Source organism: Homo sapiens, chromosome 5 (genome assembly GCF_000001405.40).
Source record: "Homo sapiens chromosome 5, GRCh38.p14 Primary Assembly".
Lineage (NCBI taxonomy): Eukaryota > Metazoa > Chordata > Mammalia > Primates > Hominidae > Homo > Homo sapiens.
In genome coordinates, this window is record NC_000005.10 from 158,938,732 (window position 1) to 158,957,063 (window position 18,332).

Below are 18,332 nucleotides of genomic sequence, written 5' to 3' on the forward strand. Positions count from 1 at the left end.
GCAGGGGAGGGCTATACCTTCCTAACTTTCTCTAAACCTAATTACCTCCCAAAAACCTCACCTCCTAATAATATCACATCGGGGGTTGGAGCTTTGAAATAATGAATATTGGAAAGACACAAACTTTCAGTCTATAACATTTCAAAGCTCAAAGCTCTTCTTTTTTTAGGACCTACCCTTAAATGTTAGCTTAGGGCCCCTCCAAGAGACATCTATGACATCCTGGATTTAAGTATGGAATCACTGAACATAACGTGTGCTTACTGGTCCAACTTTCCCACCAGTCTCCAGGAGAGCAAGAGCTGTGTCCATATTATTTTCTGCTGTAATTTCAAGACCTGGCACACATGTGCTTTTATGCATCTAAATAAATCAAGAGGAGCAGCACATTAAATGGAGCCCGTGGGCACTTGGTGCTACTCATTGGCCTCACATGTACCTCAGGGCTTATTATGTGCGGGACAAGGGCTGAGTCTTCTGAAAAACACAAAGATAAACTAGAAACTAACCCTCAAGGACTTATAGCCTAGACAGAGAAAAGATGCACATAGAAATAACCTGTGCTCCAAAGTACAAAGCTGAAAGTGCCAGAAGACATGGACACATGCTATGGAAATTCAGAGGCAAGATGAGTACTTCCAGCTGCCTTAGAGGGAGCTGGAAAGCCTCCTAGAAGAGGCTGGTAGTCAACGTGAAGATGATGACCAGAAAATGGGTATACCAGATCAGCAGACCAGAATAAGCAAGGGCAAGAAAATGGAAAATCTCCAGCACACCTGGCTCAAACCTGGATTTAATTGAAATTTAGTTAAAAGGGAAGCTATTTGGTATCTTGAATGTCAAGTTTGGGTTTATTATGCACACAGGGGAATGACATAATCAGACTTTGCTCTGTGGTATGATTTGGTGGAATGTGGACATCTGCACTACAATTGTAGGAAAATCTTTAGTCTGCCACTTTTTAAGCACTCAATCAGCGAATATCAGTAGTCATGGAGGATTAACCGTGTCTGCTTTCCGGGCGGGGGTGGGGGAGGCTGCGAGGTAGCTCCTACCTCAGAAATCATCTAACAAAATGTCATCATGGAAATCTGTCCTTCTTGGACCCACAGAGCCCAGGATCCCACAGAGGCGCACAACTACCAAGCTAACAAACACCATGGATTATGAAGTCTGAATATTCCAATTTGGAATTCTGAAACAGAATACACTTATACCCTCTCAAGGAATACACTTATACCCTCTTACCACTCTCCTCATTAAAGGCTTCACCCAGGGGCTTTCCTGCTCTCTTTCTAACTGCAGCACCCAGTACTTACTTACCTGGCGGGTAGCTGTAGTGCCTTGCCTCGCCCTGGTGCATTCTGGGAGAGTTTTCTTGTTCTCACTTCAATTTAGCAGAATCACCAGCTGCAGCCTTTGCTAGTAAGAGAACCACAAAGCAACTAGCCAAGGAGCTGGGTGTGATGGATCCTGCAAACTGCTTCACCTGGAAGAGGACTGAACAACTTGGAGATTGTGTGCAGGACGGTTTCTCAGTCCACACACCTGCTGAAACCAAAGGGCAGGATTTGCCCAAGAATTGGAGGTCCCACATCAGATCGCGACGAGTCCAGGGAGTAGTAATAACTGTGACAACCTCTACTACTGTGTCCAGAACTGTGGTATCCTAGGCCACTTAAATACATCCTCTTTTCTAATGTTCTGAAGGTGAAGTGATTCGTCTGATGGGAAGGATCAGTAAACAAAAGCTTAAAGAGGTAAAATAACTTCCCCAAGGCCAGACAGCTGGCAAGTGGTGAAGCTGGGATTTGAACCTAGGTTTGTCTGACTCTAGAGCCCAGGATCTTAAGCATTTTGCTGTGCTATTTGGCTGCTGTAGTTCTTGGAACGTTCTTGGAACATTCTCAGGGAGACATCAAAGACAGGAAGTTCATACAGGCCACCTTATCCAGCCTTTTACAAGGAGAGAAGATAAAACAGGCTCTTTCCACACAATTAGCCTTCTGACTGCACCCCCTTCACCCCACCGCCCCCCCCCCCCCCCCGCAGGTCAAATGGAGGATGGACTCCAATGGAAAGTGAATCCCCAACAGAGGACACTTCCTGGTGGACTATCTCTGGAATAAAACCACTCCAGATGAAAGGATGGCCTGTATATGAATTGAAACCAATTATGATTATAATCATTATCTGTGTAACATTTGGGTAGGAGACAGCTCCTGACAGCTTTTTGTGAGAAGTTATGTCTGTCTGACAGAGCAGACTTTAATTGAAAATGTCAACCACCTTGAAGATCATTAGGGCAAAGCTCTTAGCCTCAAGAAAAGACAAAACTGAAAACAATCATCTGTTGCTGACTACCACCAGCTGTATTGGGGTGGACAGAAAAAAGATGAACATATGGCACGTGGGGCTTTTCTGTAAACCATTCACGCACCTCAGGTTTGCTGTGAGTGAAAGAGACACTCATTCCAGACACACACATTTGAGGAAGAATGATAATGTGAGGGGTTAGACCCAAACAATGCAGACTGGAGACGTTGAATCAGGAACACGTACAAATACAGCAAACCTCTCAAGCATAAATTCTTGTAGCAAGAACCCAGCTTTTCAGAGGCAAAGGAACCAATACAATGGAACCATCTATAGTCAGAGCCTAATAACACTGCAAGTTTCGAAGGAAGATATTCGTTCATCCTGTCTCTGTCCTCCTCCTAAACACACTCTATAGGGGCACACGCACACACACTCATGCACACATTTATCATCAGGATTTCCACTGAATTATCCAAACTTAACTGCTTCTTCCAAGGATCCAAAGATCCTTGATCCTAGATTTTAAGATCTAGATGCTAGAACCCAAGATCTTAACCATTTTGTTATGCTATTTGGTTGCTATATATCTTGGAACAAAGCCTTGGTATAGTGGGGGTGTGATAGCACCTGCAAACTGCCTCACCTGTGTGCAGGATGCTTTCTCAGTCCACACCCCTGCTGAAACCAAAGGGCAGGATTTGCCCAAGGATTAGGGGTCCCACATCAGATGGTGATGAGTCCAAGGAGTAGTAATAACTGCAACAACCTCTACTACTGTATCCAGAACTGTGGTATCCTAGGCCACTTAAATACATCCTCTTTTCTAATGCTCTGAAGGTGAAGTGATTCGTCGGATGGGAAGGATCAGTAAACAAAAGCCTTGGTATAGTTGTGAATAGTTTCCCAGCTGATATGTCTTTAGTAGTTTTCTGAGGAAACAAAAGGCATGTGACTATTAGAGAAAGATGCATTTTATAAATATGCAATATTCTTTTCACTACAAACACTGAAAATGAGAAAGAAAGCAGTGGGTAAAAATTCAGATATTAATACATATATCATTTAGGGGATTTCTCTGACAAACTGTGCTATATAAAATAAAATATATACACAGTACTTATTTTTAATACTTTTATCTCATTGTGAAGCAGTGTCCTAAGATATCATCACATTTAGCATTGTGTCCCTGTATATATGAAACCCCTATCTGGTAATATACAAAGAACATCAAATATAATATCATTAACTAACTGTCAAGAGCCCTAGCTCTGAAATCAGACCACCTGCATTCAATCCTAGTTCTATCACTGACTCATCATGTAACCTTGGGCAAGTTACTTCAGCTATTTTAGCTTTACAAAGTTTATTTATAAATTGGGGATAATAATAGTAGCTGGAACCCCATAGGAAAAAAACATTTAGCACAGTGTTTGACACGTGGTAAGCCCTCAACAAATGAGAGTCCTTATTAATATTGTATGTTGTTTTGCTTCACTGGACATTAGAATTGGGTAAGTGGGACTGGATTACTAGTTATCATGAATTCCAAATAGAGACTTTAATTTCAAATACAAGGAAATAGGGATCCAGTGAAGGTTTTTGAAGGAGGAATGGTCTACTAAAGTGGTCTTTAAGAAAGTTCCAGCCCGTGGGGTTTAATACACTGTAAGGAGAAATGCTGGAATAGAGTGGCCATCTAGAAAGGCTCTACAATGACCCAGGGTTGGCGCCATACATCTCCAGAAGAGAATAGTAGAAATGGCAAAAGCAAGGCAAGTGTTGTTGCAAGAATGTGGTCGAAGGAGGAGGAGGGGGAAGAAGGGAGGGGAGAGGAGAGAAAGAGAAAAGATAGTAGAAGAGGGAGGGGGAAGGAGGGGAGAGGAGAGAAAGAGAAAAGATAGTAGAAGAGGGAGGGGGAAGGAGGGAAGGAGGAAGAGAGGAAGGGAGGAAGGGAGGAAAGGAGGAAGGGAGGGAGGGGGGAAGGAATGAAGGGAGGGAAGTGGGAGGGAGGGAGGGAGGGAGGGAAAGAAAGAGAAAAGACTGTTTCAGGTGACTAGAAAGACTGATCATGAGTCACAAATGAATCCAGGGCAGTCATCTGACGAATTGAATCTTCTGTCTTTCAGGAGGTCACATTAATGCAAACAGAGGCCAGAATGACACATAGGCTAGTCATCATTCTAACTAGACAGTCTTTAGGGAATCTTTAGGGCTAACTTCCAGAGTCTAAAAGTGTACTGATAACCATTCATTCACTTCATTTAGCAAGTGTTTATTGGATACACACACACACACACACACACACACACATTCCGGAGGCACTGTGCCAGGCTCTGAGGACACAAGAGAGAAAAAAGCAGTGCTCCTTTGGATCTTAAAATCTAGCAAGGTGAAAGGCTATATAATAATTACAGAAAGAAGTAATTAATTCCAGTTGTGATATATATTATACGTGGCATCCATAACTGGATCCAAATCTCCCCAGAAAAGCTTCTAAACAGAACAGGTCTCTCTTGACATATGCATACAAGACCTCTAACATAACTTCCAGAATCATTCTGGGTTCTAGAATCAGGGAGGCAAGCTGAGCAGATTTTACCTAAGAGTGTGGCAGTGCCTCTTCTAAGCAGAAGTCTGAATTCCTGGGAAAACTGTGAACCATCTCTGAAATCTCAACTGAAATGGGAAACAGAATAGTGGGGAGGGCAGGGGGCGCCAGGGACCCTGAAATGGGAAAGAAGGCATTGAAATATTCTATGCAGCACAACTGCTCCATGTTTGGGTCAATCAAGTGACTTATAATCATTTCTCTCATAATCTATAGAAAATAAGATTATGCAAAATCAGCAGTTGGAAATGCCAGACCCTCTTGTGCAGGGAAAGCTTTATCATCACACTGATTTCCACTGAGCCCGGACTGCGCCTTCCTAGACTTCCCATCAAAGCACTCCAAGCAGCCACAAGCAATTGATTTGTGTAAGCAGGAGAGACAAAACTTATTTGAAATTCATCAGTTATTCTTTACTTTTTTATTATTATACTTTAAGTTCTGGGATACATGTGCAGAACATGCAGGTTTGTTACATAGGTATACATGTGCCATGGTGGTTTGCTGCACCCATCAACCCGTCATCTACATTAGTTTCTCCTAATGCCATCCCTCCCCTTGTCCTCCACCCCCCTACAGGCCCCAGCATGTGATGTTCCCCTCCCTGTGCCCATATATTCTCATTGTTCAACTCCCAAGTATGAGTGAGAACATGCAGTGTTTGCTTTTTTGTTCCTGTGTTAGTTTGCTGAGAATGATGGTTTCCAGCTTTATCCATATCCCTGCAAAGGACATGAACTCATTCTTTTTTATGGCCACATAGTATTCCATGGTGTATATGTGCCACGTTTTCTTTATCCAGTCTATCATTGATGGGCATTTGGATTGGTTCCAAATCTTTGCTATTGTGAATAGTGCTTCAATAAACATACGTGTGCATGTGTCTTTATAGTAGAATGATTTATGATCCTTTGGGTATACACCCAGTAACGGGATTGCTGGGTCAAATTGTATTTCTGGTTCTAGATCCTTGAGGAATCACCACACTATCTTCCACAGTGGTTGAACTAATTTACATTCCCACCAACAGTGTAAAAGTGTTCCTATTTCTCCACATCCTCTCCACCATCTGTTGTTTCCTGACTTTTGAATGATCACCATTCTAACTGGCGTGAGATGGGATCTCATTGTGGTTTTGATTTGCATTTCTCTAATGACCAGCGATGATGAGCTTTTATTCATATGTTTGTTGGCCACATAAAAGTCTTCTTTAGAAAAATGACTGTTCATTTCCTTCACCCACTTTTTGATGGGGTTGTTGGTTTTTTTCTCTTGTAAATTTGTTTAAGTTCCATGTAGATTCTGGATATTAGCCCTTTGTCAGATGGATAGATTGCAAAAATTTTCTCCCATTCTGTAGGTTGCCTGTTCACTCTGATAATAGTTTATTTTGCTGTGCAGAAGCTCTTTAGTTTAATTAGATCCCATTTGTCAATGTTGGCTTTTGTTGCAATTGCCTTTAGTATTTTAGTCATGAAGTCTTTGCCCATGCCTATGTCCTAAATGGTATTGCCTAGATTTTCTTCTAGGGTTTTTATGGTTTTAGGTTTTAGGTTTAAATCTTTAATCCATCTTGAGTTAATTTTTGTATAAGATGTAAGGAAGGGGTCCAGTTTCAGTTTTCTGCATACAGCTGGACAGTTTTCCCAACGCCATTTATTAAATAGGGGATTCTTTCCCCATTACTTGTTTTTGTCAGGTTTGTCAAAGATCAGATGGTTGTAGATGTGTGGTGTTATTTCTGAGGCCTCTGTTCTGTTCCATTGGTCTATATATCTGTTTTGGTACTGGTACCATGAAATTCCGAGTTGAAAATTCTTTAAGAATGTTGAATATTGGCCCCCACTCTCTTCTGGCTTGTAGGGTTTCTGCAGAGAGATCTGCTGTTAGTCTGATGGGCTTCCCTTTGTGGGTAACCCAACCTTTCTCTCTGGCTGTCCTTAACATTTTTTCCTTCATTTCAACCTTGGTGAATCTGACAATTATGTGTCTTGGGGCTGCTCTTCTCAAGGAGTATCTTTGTGGTGTTCTCTGTATTTCCTGAATTAGAATGTTGGCCTGCCTTGCTAGGTTGGGTAAGTTCTCCTGGATGATATCCTGTATGATATTCTGGATGATTTCCAACTTGGTTCCATTCTCCCCATCACTTTCAGGTACACCAATCAGACATAGATTTGGTCTTTTCACATAGTCTCATATTTCTTGGAGGCTTTGTTCATTCCTTTTCATTCTTTTTTCTCTAATCTTGTCTTCATGCTTTATTTCATTAAGTTGATCTTCAATCTCTGATATCCTTTCTTCCACTTGATCAATTTGGCTATTGATACTTCTGTATGTTTCGGGAAGTTCTCGTGCTGTGTTTTTCAGCTCCATCAGGTCATTTATGTTCTTCTCTAAACTGGTTATTCTAGTTAGCAATTTCTCTAACCTTTTATCAAGGTTCTTAGCTTCCTTGCATTGGGTTAGAACATGCTCCTTTAGCTCAAAGGAGTTTGTTATTACCCACCTTCTGAAGCCTACTTCTGTCAATTCGTCAAACTAATTCTCCATCCTGTTTTGTTCCCTTGCTGGCGAGCAGTTGTGATCCTTTGGAGGAGAAGAGGCATCCCGGTTTTTGGCATTTTCAGCCTTTTTCACTGGTTTTTCCTCATCTTCATGGATTTATATACCTTTGGTCTTTGCTATTGGTGACCTTCAGATGGAGTTTTTGCTTGGTCGTCCTTCTTTTTGATGTTGATACTATTGCTTTCTGTTTGTTAGTTTTCCTTCTAACAGTCAGGCCCCTCTTCTGCAGGTCTGCTGGAGTTTGCTGGGGGTCCACTCCAGACCCTGTTTGCCTAGGTATCACCAGCGGAGGCTGCAGAACAGCCAAGACTGCTGCCTGTTCCTTCCTCTGGAAGCTTCATCCCAGAGGGGCACCCACCAAATGCCAGCCAGAGCTCTCCTGTATGACGTGTCTGTCGACCACTGCTGGGAGGTGTCTCTCCATCAGGAGGCATGGGGGTCAGGGACCCACTTAAGGAGTCAGTCTGTCCCTTATTAGAACTCCAATACTGTGCTGGGAGATCTGCTGCTCTCTTCAGAGCCAGCAGGCAGGAGCGTTTAAGTCTGCTGAAGCTGCACCCACAGCTGCCCCTTCACCAAGGTGCTCTGTCCCAGGGAGATGGAAGTTTTATCTATAAGCCCCTGACTGGGGCTGCTGCCTTTCTTTCAGAGGTGCCCTGCCCAGAGAGGAGGAATCTAGAGAGACGGTCTGGCTACAGCGGCTCTGTGGCACTGCAGTGAGCTCCCCCTAGCTGGAACTTCCCAGTGGCTTTGTTAACACTGTGAGGGGAAAAACATCTACTCAAGCCTCTGTAATGGCAAATGCCCCTCCCCCCACCAACCTCAAGCATCCCAGGTTGACTTCAGACTGCTGTGCTGGCAGCAAGAATTTCAGGCCAGTGGATCTTAGCTTGCTGGGCTCCATGGGGGTGGGATCCACTGAGCAAAACCACTTGGCTCCCTGGCTTCAGCCTCCTTTCCAGGGGAGTGAGCGGTTCTGTCTCACTGGCATTCCAGGCGCCACCAGGGTATGGAAAAAAAAAAAACTCCTGCAGCTAGCTCGGTGTCTACCCAAAGGGCCGCCCAGTTTTGTGCTTGAAACCCAGGGCCATTGTGGTATTGGCAACCGGGAGAATCTCCTGGTCTGTGGGTTGTGAAGAGCATGGGCAAAGCATAGTATCTGGGCCAGATAGCACCATCCCTCACAGCAGGGTCCCTCACGGCTTCCCTTGGCTAGGGGAGGGAGTTTCCTGACTGCTTGTGCTTTCCAGGTGAGGCAGCGCCCCGTCCTGCTTCTGCTCGCCCTCCCTGGGCTGCACCCACTGTCTAACCAATCCCAATGAGATGAACTGGGAATCTCAGTTGGAAATGCAGAAATCACCTGCCTTCTGCATTGGTCTCACTGGGAGCTGCAGACAGGAGCTGTTCCTATTCGGCCATCTTGCCTGGGAACTTCCTTAAGGTTTTCTCTAATCTATGCCATGACAATCTATAACTCTAGATTCAGGAGGAACACAGAGGGATAGCAGCCAACAGAAATCGTAAAGGAGAAGTAATCATGTCTGAGCAAAGCTAAATACGAAAGTAAAGAGTTGGGATGAAAATCATTTACCTCCTGTGTAGAAATGGAGGTTGAAGGAGAACAGGAGAAATGTGGAGCCCCCTTTTAAAAGTTCCCTCCCTAAATCGCTGAAGCATCCTTACTCCATTAACAACCAGCTTTTGCTTTTAAAGCACTAGTTCTCTTGGTATTTACCTCCAGCACTGCAACAGAAAAAAATTTCAGCATATACTGAAGAACTTGTAATGATCTTTTAAGACATGAATCCCCCATTCCTAGAGGGTGAGTGTGCTTCCTAAGAACTATTCTGGAAGCAAAATTGACAGACTGTCACAGGAACAGAGAGATTCCAGTTTTTCCTGCATCGGGGTGGAGGGTACGGGTGGGTGTGTCAAAACATCACTACATTCTCCCAGGTTGGAGCCCTCATTCCGTTCTTTGCTGGGGGGAGATCTGGGTTCTTCTCACACACATGCTTGTCTCTGTGATGTAGGGGAGGCCCGAGGGCAGGCCAATGGCAGCTGCTGCCCAGCCAAAGGAGAGGAAGCTAGTTTACTACAGGATATAAATAGAGTGACAGAGCCCCTCACAGAGGGATGTACACTGGAATGTTTAAAAAAAAAAACCACTGTAGCAGGGGCATTATTCAAGCATACTGTATAAGGGCCAAAATTGCTTAAAATGGCTTTCAAAAACATAAGTCTGAGATTGCTCCTTGGGTGTGTTATTTTTATCTATTCCACTGGGATTAAGCATGGCCTAGAATCCCAGCTTGAAAGGGGAGAGCCAAATTTGCACTACCTGCTATCTCTCTGTATCATCAGGACTCATCTTCAGAAATCTGGACGTGGACACCACTGACACAAAGGAAGCACAATTAAAGCCTGAGAAGAGGCCGGTCTGCGCTCTCCCAGAGCCAAATGAACCCTCCCTTGCTTTCTCCAGTCTCCAGCCCTGCTCAGCGACCCTGCCTTTGACTGACATGTGGCATTCTCGTCTTCATGGACAGAGAAGCCGAGCTCTCGATGGTTATCGACATTAGAAAATGTCATGTCTGAATACGCTTCAGCCGGACCTTCCTCCCCTACTTCATTCCCTGCCTCCCGCCCCTCAGTTTATTTTAATTATACAATGAAAACTCTCAAGTATGGAATGGCTGCCTGCTGTATCACACAAGCCCTTAATTGTACTCTGGAGTTGGATCATGGCATTTTATCACCCTGCAATGGTAAAAGGCACATTTGCAACAGGAGTAGGTCATGGAATATTTTCTGGAAATGCCAATGGATTTCAAGGCCCTTCCTTTTTTATACTAGACATTTGTGATTTTTGTCTGTGCATATAGGAGAATAGTAATTTATATCCCCTTTTATACCTTTTCCTGTTCTCCTTACAATTCTATATAATTCCCCAACTTATTCTTTACATTGATGAATATTAATGACTTGATCCATAATCACTTGTCTCTTATCAATCCACAAAAGCATTTGAGCAGATTTAATTTTCGAATTATCATAGTTTCCACATCGTGATGGCATACCCATTTATCATTCTTCTAGTTCCTTTAAAACGTTTTCATTATGGGCAAGGTGCAGTGGCTCACATCTGTAATCCCAAGCACTTTGGGAGGTAAAGATGGGAGGATTGCTTGAGGCCAGGAGTTTGAGACCAGCCTGGGCAACACAGTGAGACCCCCATCTCTACAAAAACAACTTTTTAAACTTTTTAAAATTAAAAACTAAAAAGAAAATATTTTCTTCAGGAAAAAGAACAGATCACAATAGACAAACTATGTTCAGGCTTTTTCCAAAAGAGGCCACTTCAACAAGTAAGATAATTTCCTAGAAGATAAAAAGGTGACCCACACCCAATCTAGACATGGCTGGCCAATGTGGTACTTTGGTTTAGATGTCTATATCTGCCTCTTTCAACAAATACAGGCTTTCCCATTGTATCTATTCAATAAATGTTCACCAAGTAAATCTTCTCAGTCATGAACTTCAAATGTGCGCTAAGCCATACACACCCTACCCATATTTATCCAAGAATTCCCCTGCTCTAGTTGTCTCATGTTAGATATTCATTCCCTAATTCACACTAGGATAACAAATTCTCTCCTGGTAACCACCGCTCCCTAGCTCAATCCATACTTCCAGGAAGAACTGTGTTCACACAGTTTATAAGTCATGCTCCCACAGCAGTATTTGTCACTTGACAGGTTCACGTTGTATCACTTTTAAGCAATTCCCAGTGGTGTACAGTGGTGCCTGTTCACAGATGTTTCCCTAATATTGCTAAGTAACATCAAAAGTTTCAGGCTGGCTTCCACACAGGCAGTGGGCTAAGGAGACATGGATTACCCATGCTCTTCTATTTCCTGGCCCAAAGGTCTCCAATTAACACTGATGAAATTGGCTTCTCTTGGCACTCCTGCCTACTTCCCTTAGATGTTATTCACTTCAGGACTTGGGCAGAAACAAGGTTTTATGTAACAACATCATTCATTAATCCTAAGTGAATGTACCCAAGAAAAGGTGCTCAAGGTAGGCTAAAGTCCTAGAGTCAGTAGCCGATGAAGAATAGTAACCTGTTCTTCACACTGCCATTTATTTCACAACAAAACTTCAGTCCAGGCAGAGCTTCCACTATAGCAGTCCAAAGCTTTCCATTGACTACTGCTAGAGTCCAGCCCACACAGGACCAGAAAGAAGTGGATTTGTGTGAGAAATGCTCCGCCCAGTGTCTAGCACAGAAGAGGGGCTTAATAAAACAAATTCTGAGATCTAAAAAAGAAATACAAGAAGTCTTACGAGTAAAATTGGCCCCGTTCTGAGGACCATGCAGAAAGCCAAAGAAGTACTTCCTCAGTGGCCTGGGAGACAACCTTCTTTATCTCTGACATTTTACTCTGGAAAAGGAAAAGGCTATAAATGAGTGGCGGGAACCATCTGAAATCTCATCATGACTATACCACCAGCATGTGGAGAGTGTATTTGGTGGAGTTTGTCCAAAAGTCATCCTTCCCTGTTCACTCTAACCCATAGTCACTCCTACCTCAAATCTCTATTCCAAAGTAGGAAACTTCCAGGCAGGTGAGGTATTCAAATGAAAAATGCAAGCCCGGGCTACTTAGCTCTGGCCAATTGTTGCCATGTGGGATGGCTGGCAGCCCATGTTGGTAGACCTTCTGACTTTTCAAGAGAAGATGGAAAGTCAGATTTCTATATAAATCTCCCAATTTTTCAATATTAACTCCAACTTAGAATGAAAAAAGTTCAAGCCAAGTAAAATGCATCTGACTCTGGGTTGGTCTGAACGCATGGTTTGCCACTTTGCAATCCCTGAACTCTCTAATTCATGTGGCACTAAATCATACATTACTTTTGCATTATTTCACTTTTCACTTTGCAAGCTGTGACTTCCAAATTGACTATAAACACTTTTGACCCTGACACACTTTTGGCTGGGTGGGCCTGTGATGCCATGCGTTTACTAAACAGTGGCTCTATTATATATTGCCATGTTGAACAATGGCTACAGGCAGATGTAGCATTTCCCAAATGAGAGAAGGCAATGGCAAAAGAGGGAACTTGGCGTCAACTTGAGTGAATGCCCCTCCTTCTCTACTCCATTCTTTTTTTCCTGGCAGGTGCACGTTCACAATGGTGATTTCTCATTTAATTGCTAAGTATTTCCACAGCACAGTAAAATCCATCATGAACCAGACACGGAGTATGCTAATTCCCCAATCTCTGATAATGCACAGATTCAATGGGGTCTTCTTCCCGCCAATGTGCATTCATAAATGCCATTAATAGTAATGGCAGTCAAATGCAAAATATGACTAAGTAGGCCCTAGTGCATGAAATATATTCTCAACCACAAGGACAAGCTGCCACACAGCTCACTGCCTTGTACTAAATTAGGGGCTGGTGATTCTCTGATTGGGACCAAGAGGGTGATAATGACAAATAAAAAGAAAAAAAGCCAGTCCTCTTCTCTGCTTATCCACTACGAAGAGTATCCCTGACTTACAGGTCAGAGACAATGAGGAGCTTTCAGGCTTGGAAACAGAGACAGGACACAGAAAGATGCAAACTCGCTGTCTTGCAGGGAATTAGTGAAACACAGCTAAGCCAGTTCAACACTGTGCCCTTTAGTCATCCCACCCACTAAAAGACACTGTTAAAAACCCGCCAGCTTTTATTAGCAGAAACAAATGAAGTCGACTACCGAGCACTCAGGAGTTTTTCATCCTGAAAGTCCAGGATGGCTTTGGCATAATAAAGGTCATATCTCCTAACCACGGTAATGTTCACAGAGCAACCTGAGCTCCAGGCAGGGCCAGGCCGGCCTCTCAGTATTCCCCCTGTAGAAGGTGTTGCCGATTAAACTATCACATTTCAAAGAGCTCCTTACAGTAAATAGGAAAGAAAGGAAAAAAGAGATCCAGGGCCTTTTGTTAGTCAAAAAGCTAGGGAAAGGCGATAATTAACCCATTTTTGTAGAGAAATCATTTGGACAAAAGTCAAGGGATTTACCACCCTGTCAATTGTTAAGTCTAGATAAGGACATTATATTCCACGGCACAAAGGGTGACTGAGATGGTGAATGGAAAGTAGGCCACTACTACTACTTTACCTCGCATCTGAAAAAGGACTTTTTTTTTGTCCTCCTGGTACAGTGATGGACTAAAGAATCTTCTCCCCCTTGCACTAAAAACATAACTTCAGAGCCTGGTTTTTGCATTTTGTTAAATATTCAAAGGTATTGTGCAATTAGCATGTCATTAATGAATAATTAATTACAGCTAAAGCAGCCCTCAGATTTTTGCAGCTAAATTATTTAAACAGCAAATATAACAATACAATGCAATGCTCTCATTTGGTGTTTTGTTATTGCATTATTTGAAGGGAACAGCAATATTACTTTTCATTAGTTGCAAGAATTATGTGCAACAAAAGCTGTTTTCATTTTTTTTCTTACCTAAAAGTTGCTTCGTGTGCCCTAAAAGGGAAAATTAATTCAATTCAGATTAGATTTCCTAAGAATTAATTAGCTGCAAATATCTGAAAACTGCGGCTAGGGACATAAGGCTTAGGTATCTGAACTTAAAAGAAAAAAGTAAGCCTATTTAAACCTGTCCTTTAAAACAACTTCTGCACCAAAGTACCTTTTTTTTAGATATTTGGTTACCACTTTTAAAAGAGGAAACTTGTTTAAAAATCCTTTTTTTTTTTTAAGCAAGTGAGCATTACAAAGCTCCCCCTAGTAAACAGTCAAGAGTTAAATAGAAAGTAATTTGTTGCTACTTGCAGACATACATCACTAGTAAGACATGAGTTTATATTTATAAGCTGCACATCTGGGATCAGTTGACTTATCCATCTGCTAACTACACCAGTAAACAGTATGTCTGGGACCGTCAAACCCTTGCATCCATCACAAATTCCTGCTTTAATTGTGTGTTTACGTGGCAAACCTCTGCTTAAGTATATTTGAAGACTGTTTTAAGCAGTTGTAATTGCTCCTTTCTTCTTCATATTAACTTTAACACATTTTATTTACCATTATGACAGGCCGCGATTTTGCAAGCCTCATAGATAGATAAATGCCAGAGATCATCATGCTACCCAGGAAAAGGCAGCAGAGGGACAGAAACCGGAGCTGTAACCTGTCCAGTCCGGAGAGTTTGGGCCTCTTTCACAAAATCCAATGACTTGAGTCACAAGTTCAAATCTCAGTAAGGCCAGTTTAATCCTCCACTGTCTTGAACTCAGAAAGTTGACAATCATACACTTTCTTTTTGAGAAAGGAGCAGAAGAGAGGGAAGGGAAGATTTAGGGGGAAGAGGCAAATCACAGTTTGGAAAGATAAAATGGTGCCAGGAGTTTTCCATCTTTTTCCTTAATTAATCTGCTGTGTAGGAGAGGTGCATGAAAGCTTGAGAGATTTGTAAGGGTAGAGATTTTTCAAGCCAGTGGCAGAGGGCTGGAAGTTCTCAGGAGCCCCAGAATCAAAGAGGAGTATAGCCTGTGACTTGACTTAATTTTTAACCCTGGTTTTATAATTGAGTTTCATAAGCAAGCTGAAAACACAGGCTCAGAAATGAATGAATTCAGAAGAAATAAAAGGCTACCTTCCATAATTAGGGGAAAAATATGCACCATTCTCTGCACAAAAGCGGGGATTTTACTGTATTTTTCCCAATCTGCCTTTCACATTTATATGAATAGCAAGATGTCAGATTTCACACAATGTTGTTAAACCTTTTCTCAGGTTTAGGGAACTGAAAGTCGTATGTGCCTGTGTAATATTGTGCTGATGCAAATAGTTAAACTTTTCTACACGATTAACCATCATTTTCTCAGAGTATTCTGTTCACAGCTTTCTTCCAGTTTCCTGATACATGTTGAGATCTATGCCCGTGCGGCTGATGGGGTGGCGTGGAGGTTGTAAACTGAAGACCCACCGCGAAGCTAAAGAGTCACTCTGACGCAATCTAGTTAAATGACAGTATGGCAGTAGGCCGTTTACCCAGGCCAAGGAAGCTGTGGCTTGTCAAAGACATTAAAATCCAAATGTGCCAGCAACGGTGCCAAATGTACTCTAGGCCTTGCAAACACATAATCCAGACAAACTGAATTAAATTGCAACCAGTTTATAATTAATTTGCTTTTGAAAGTTGTGCCATGAGAATAAATGTGCCAACAATTATTTGCAATGAATTGTTCTTAGGGTGCCCCCAACTTAATAATGCCTCTGTAAGCAAGAGAGGGTTTGGTATTGGTTACTTGTATTGGCATTGGCTTCTAACCTAATGAGGGGGTACGGAGAATTTAGAGACAGATTCCAGGAACCTTAACCTTTCTGTCAACCTAATGGAGTCTGTTACCAATGCGGTCAGTAGCGTGGCCCTGTGGCCTCCCTGACCTCAGATGCCAGCCTCACTCTGCCCAAGATGCTAAGATTAGAAACATATTTATCTCGCTGAGGCACTGCCTTTCTGGACACCATTTTGTAAGCACAAATATTCACGGGAAAGGTAAAAACAGTAAGAGACTAAGGCACTAATGCTTCATGTGAATTCATTTCTCATACCATTTTTCTCTAGGACTTACGGAGCCAAGCAAAGTGTGAGCCCTGAGTACATATGAACAAAAAACTAAAATAATGTAAAAAGAAGAAATAATCCTGAAACTTAACATGGAGTGTTATGTGCCAAGCATTTTTTTTCCCCACCAATCCTCAGGGGAAAAAAATTACAGAGAAGTAATTGGGCCGGGCGCAGTGGCTCACGCCTGTAATCCCAGCACTTTGGGAGGCCGAGGAGGGCGGATCACGAGGTCAGGAGTTCAAGACCAGCCTGGCCAACATGGTGAAACCCCATCTCTACTAAAAATACAAAAATCAGCCGGGAGTGGTGGCGGGCACCTGTAATCCCAGCTACTTGGGAGTCTGAGGCAAGAGAATCGCTTGAATCCGGGAGGCAGGGGTTGTAGTGAGCCGAGATTGCACCACTGCACTCCAGAATGGGCAACAAGAGCGAAACTCCATCTAAAAAAAAAAGAGAGAGAGAGAGAAGTAATTGCAGAGTAGATGTATATTAGAGGCCTCAGGACTTAGAGCTAAAAAACAGCAGACGCAGGATTCAAACTGAGGGCTAACTCAGCAGCCTGGGACCTCCACCTTCTGCTTTTCATATCAACAATGGCCATATCTCACTGCTCCTCTCTTTCCAGAGCACAGGGGCCAGAGTGAGACCTGGAATGTGACTGACTTTTAGACCAGAGCTGGACATCAAAATGAATTCCATCCCATTCTTAATTGTCACTTTGGAAGACTGCTTGAGAGCATTTGCAGCTCTTCTTGGAAATCCAGGCAGAATGTTTTGAGTTCATCTCAATATAGTAGTTCCCTTACAGGGACGCATCATTTCTGATCTAAAATGATCTTTAATCGACTGATGTTTTACACCAGCCTCGTTATCAAATTACTGCTGGCTGTTTCCGAAACTCAGATCAACCCTCAAAGAGTAGAAGTGTGCTACCATTGAGGGGAGTCACAAGAAGATGCTGCAGGTTCAGCCAGCAGCTGAAAGGAAGAGTAGCAAAGAGTTGCTTAGCAATGGCTTACCAAAGGAGGAGTACCTGCAGGCCATTGCTTTGTTTATGCAACAAATACTTATTTCTTACAGTTGTTACTTATTTGTTACAAGCTCCTGCTTGAATATGCCAGATACTGCATTAATTAAATAAATATAAATGTGTGTGTGTGTGTGTGTGTGTGTGTGTGTGTGTGTGTGTGTGTGTGTCTTTCAGATTTAGAAATTTGCCCAAGGTCACAAAGCTAATAAATGGCAAAGGCAAGATTTGAACCCATGTCAAACTCCAGCAACACACTCCAGTCCACAGTCTTGTAGTACCAAGGAGGCTTCTACTTTGGAGCGACACGGTGTGTCACAGGCTTTTCAGATCAAGTTCTATGCTGCAGTTTCCTTTCACTGAGATGCAGCCTAATGGTCTCTGAATGTTTTTCACCAGGAGGAGAATGAGAGCTGAGAGTAACTTTCCCTGAAAGGACATTTGTAACCATTAAAAGAAAGAGAACTCAAAAAGAAGTTCAAGAGGGTTTTCAAAACTGGACTTTTAACTGGAAGCTTAATTGCAGGATGTACCTTAGAATGCACGCACACATAGACACACACACACACACGCACACACACACACGCACGCACACTTTCAGATATTCCTTCTAAAATAGCTCTTGACAATTTGTTTCAAATCATGAAATCACGACCTTAAGGTCTTCCAAGTTATCTTCAACCATCCAAACAATTAATTCTTTGAGAAAGACATACTTACTAAAAGAAAAAAGAAGTTGAAAATATTGAAAATATTATAGAAAGGTTCCAATGGAATTAACCAGAAGAGAAGGTTCTAGATGTTAAGCATGTACTACCACTCCCACTACCTCTGCCACCAACACTTCTTTTTTTTTTTTTTTTTTTTTTGAGATGGAGTCTCGCTCTGTCGCCCAGGCTGGAGTGCAGTGGCGCGATCTGGGCTCACTGCAAACTCCACCTCCCGGGTTCACACCATTCTCCTGCCTCAGCCTCCGGAGTAGCTGGGACTACAGGCGCCTGCCACCACGCCCAGCTAATTTTTTGTATTTTTAGTAGAGACCGGGTTTCACCGTGTTAGCCAAGATGGTCTCGATCTCCTGACCCTGTGATCCACCTGTCTAGGCCTCCCAAAGTGCTGGGATTACAGGCGTGAGCCACACTTCTAATGAAAAATG

The 18,332-nt window shown here is 42.7% G+C and overlaps 1 protein-coding gene across 28 annotated transcripts in view, besides 2 other annotated features; it reads right to left on the minus strand.

Annotated features, from left to right (window-relative positions):
* EBF1 (EBF transcription factor 1) overlaps positions 1–18,332 on the minus strand; it is a 403,997-nt gene that overhangs the window by 242,812 nt on the left and 142,853 nt on the right. Inside the window, exon 1 of one of the 28 annotated variants that reach the window (XM_017009199.2) lies at positions 2,963–4,151. The exons of the other annotated variants lie outside the window; for them this stretch is intronic. The gene's annotated coding sequence lies outside the window, so the exon portion shown is untranslated. Of the gene's footprint in view, positions 1–2,962; positions 4,152–18,332 lie in introns of those variants that run through there. 28 annotated transcript variants of the gene reach the window in all.
* Positions 13,166–13,823: an enhancer, noted in NCBI's record as "NANOG hESC enhancer chr5:158378905-158379562 (GRCh37/hg19 assembly coordinates)". NCBI's record gives its function as "activates a minimal SCP1, AML or CMV promoter by ChIP-STARR-seq in naive and primed H9 embryonic stem cells {active_cell/tissue: H9 hESC(naive and primed)}" and the evidence as "EXISTENCE:reporter gene assay evidence [ECO:0000049][PMID:30033119]".
* Positions 15,496–15,625: an enhancer, noted in NCBI's record as "active region_23537". NCBI's record gives its function as "activates an Ori minimal core promoter by ATAC-STARR-seq in GM12878 lymphoblastoid cells {active_cell/tissue: GM12878}" and the evidence as "EXISTENCE:reporter gene assay evidence [ECO:0000049][PMID:35858748]".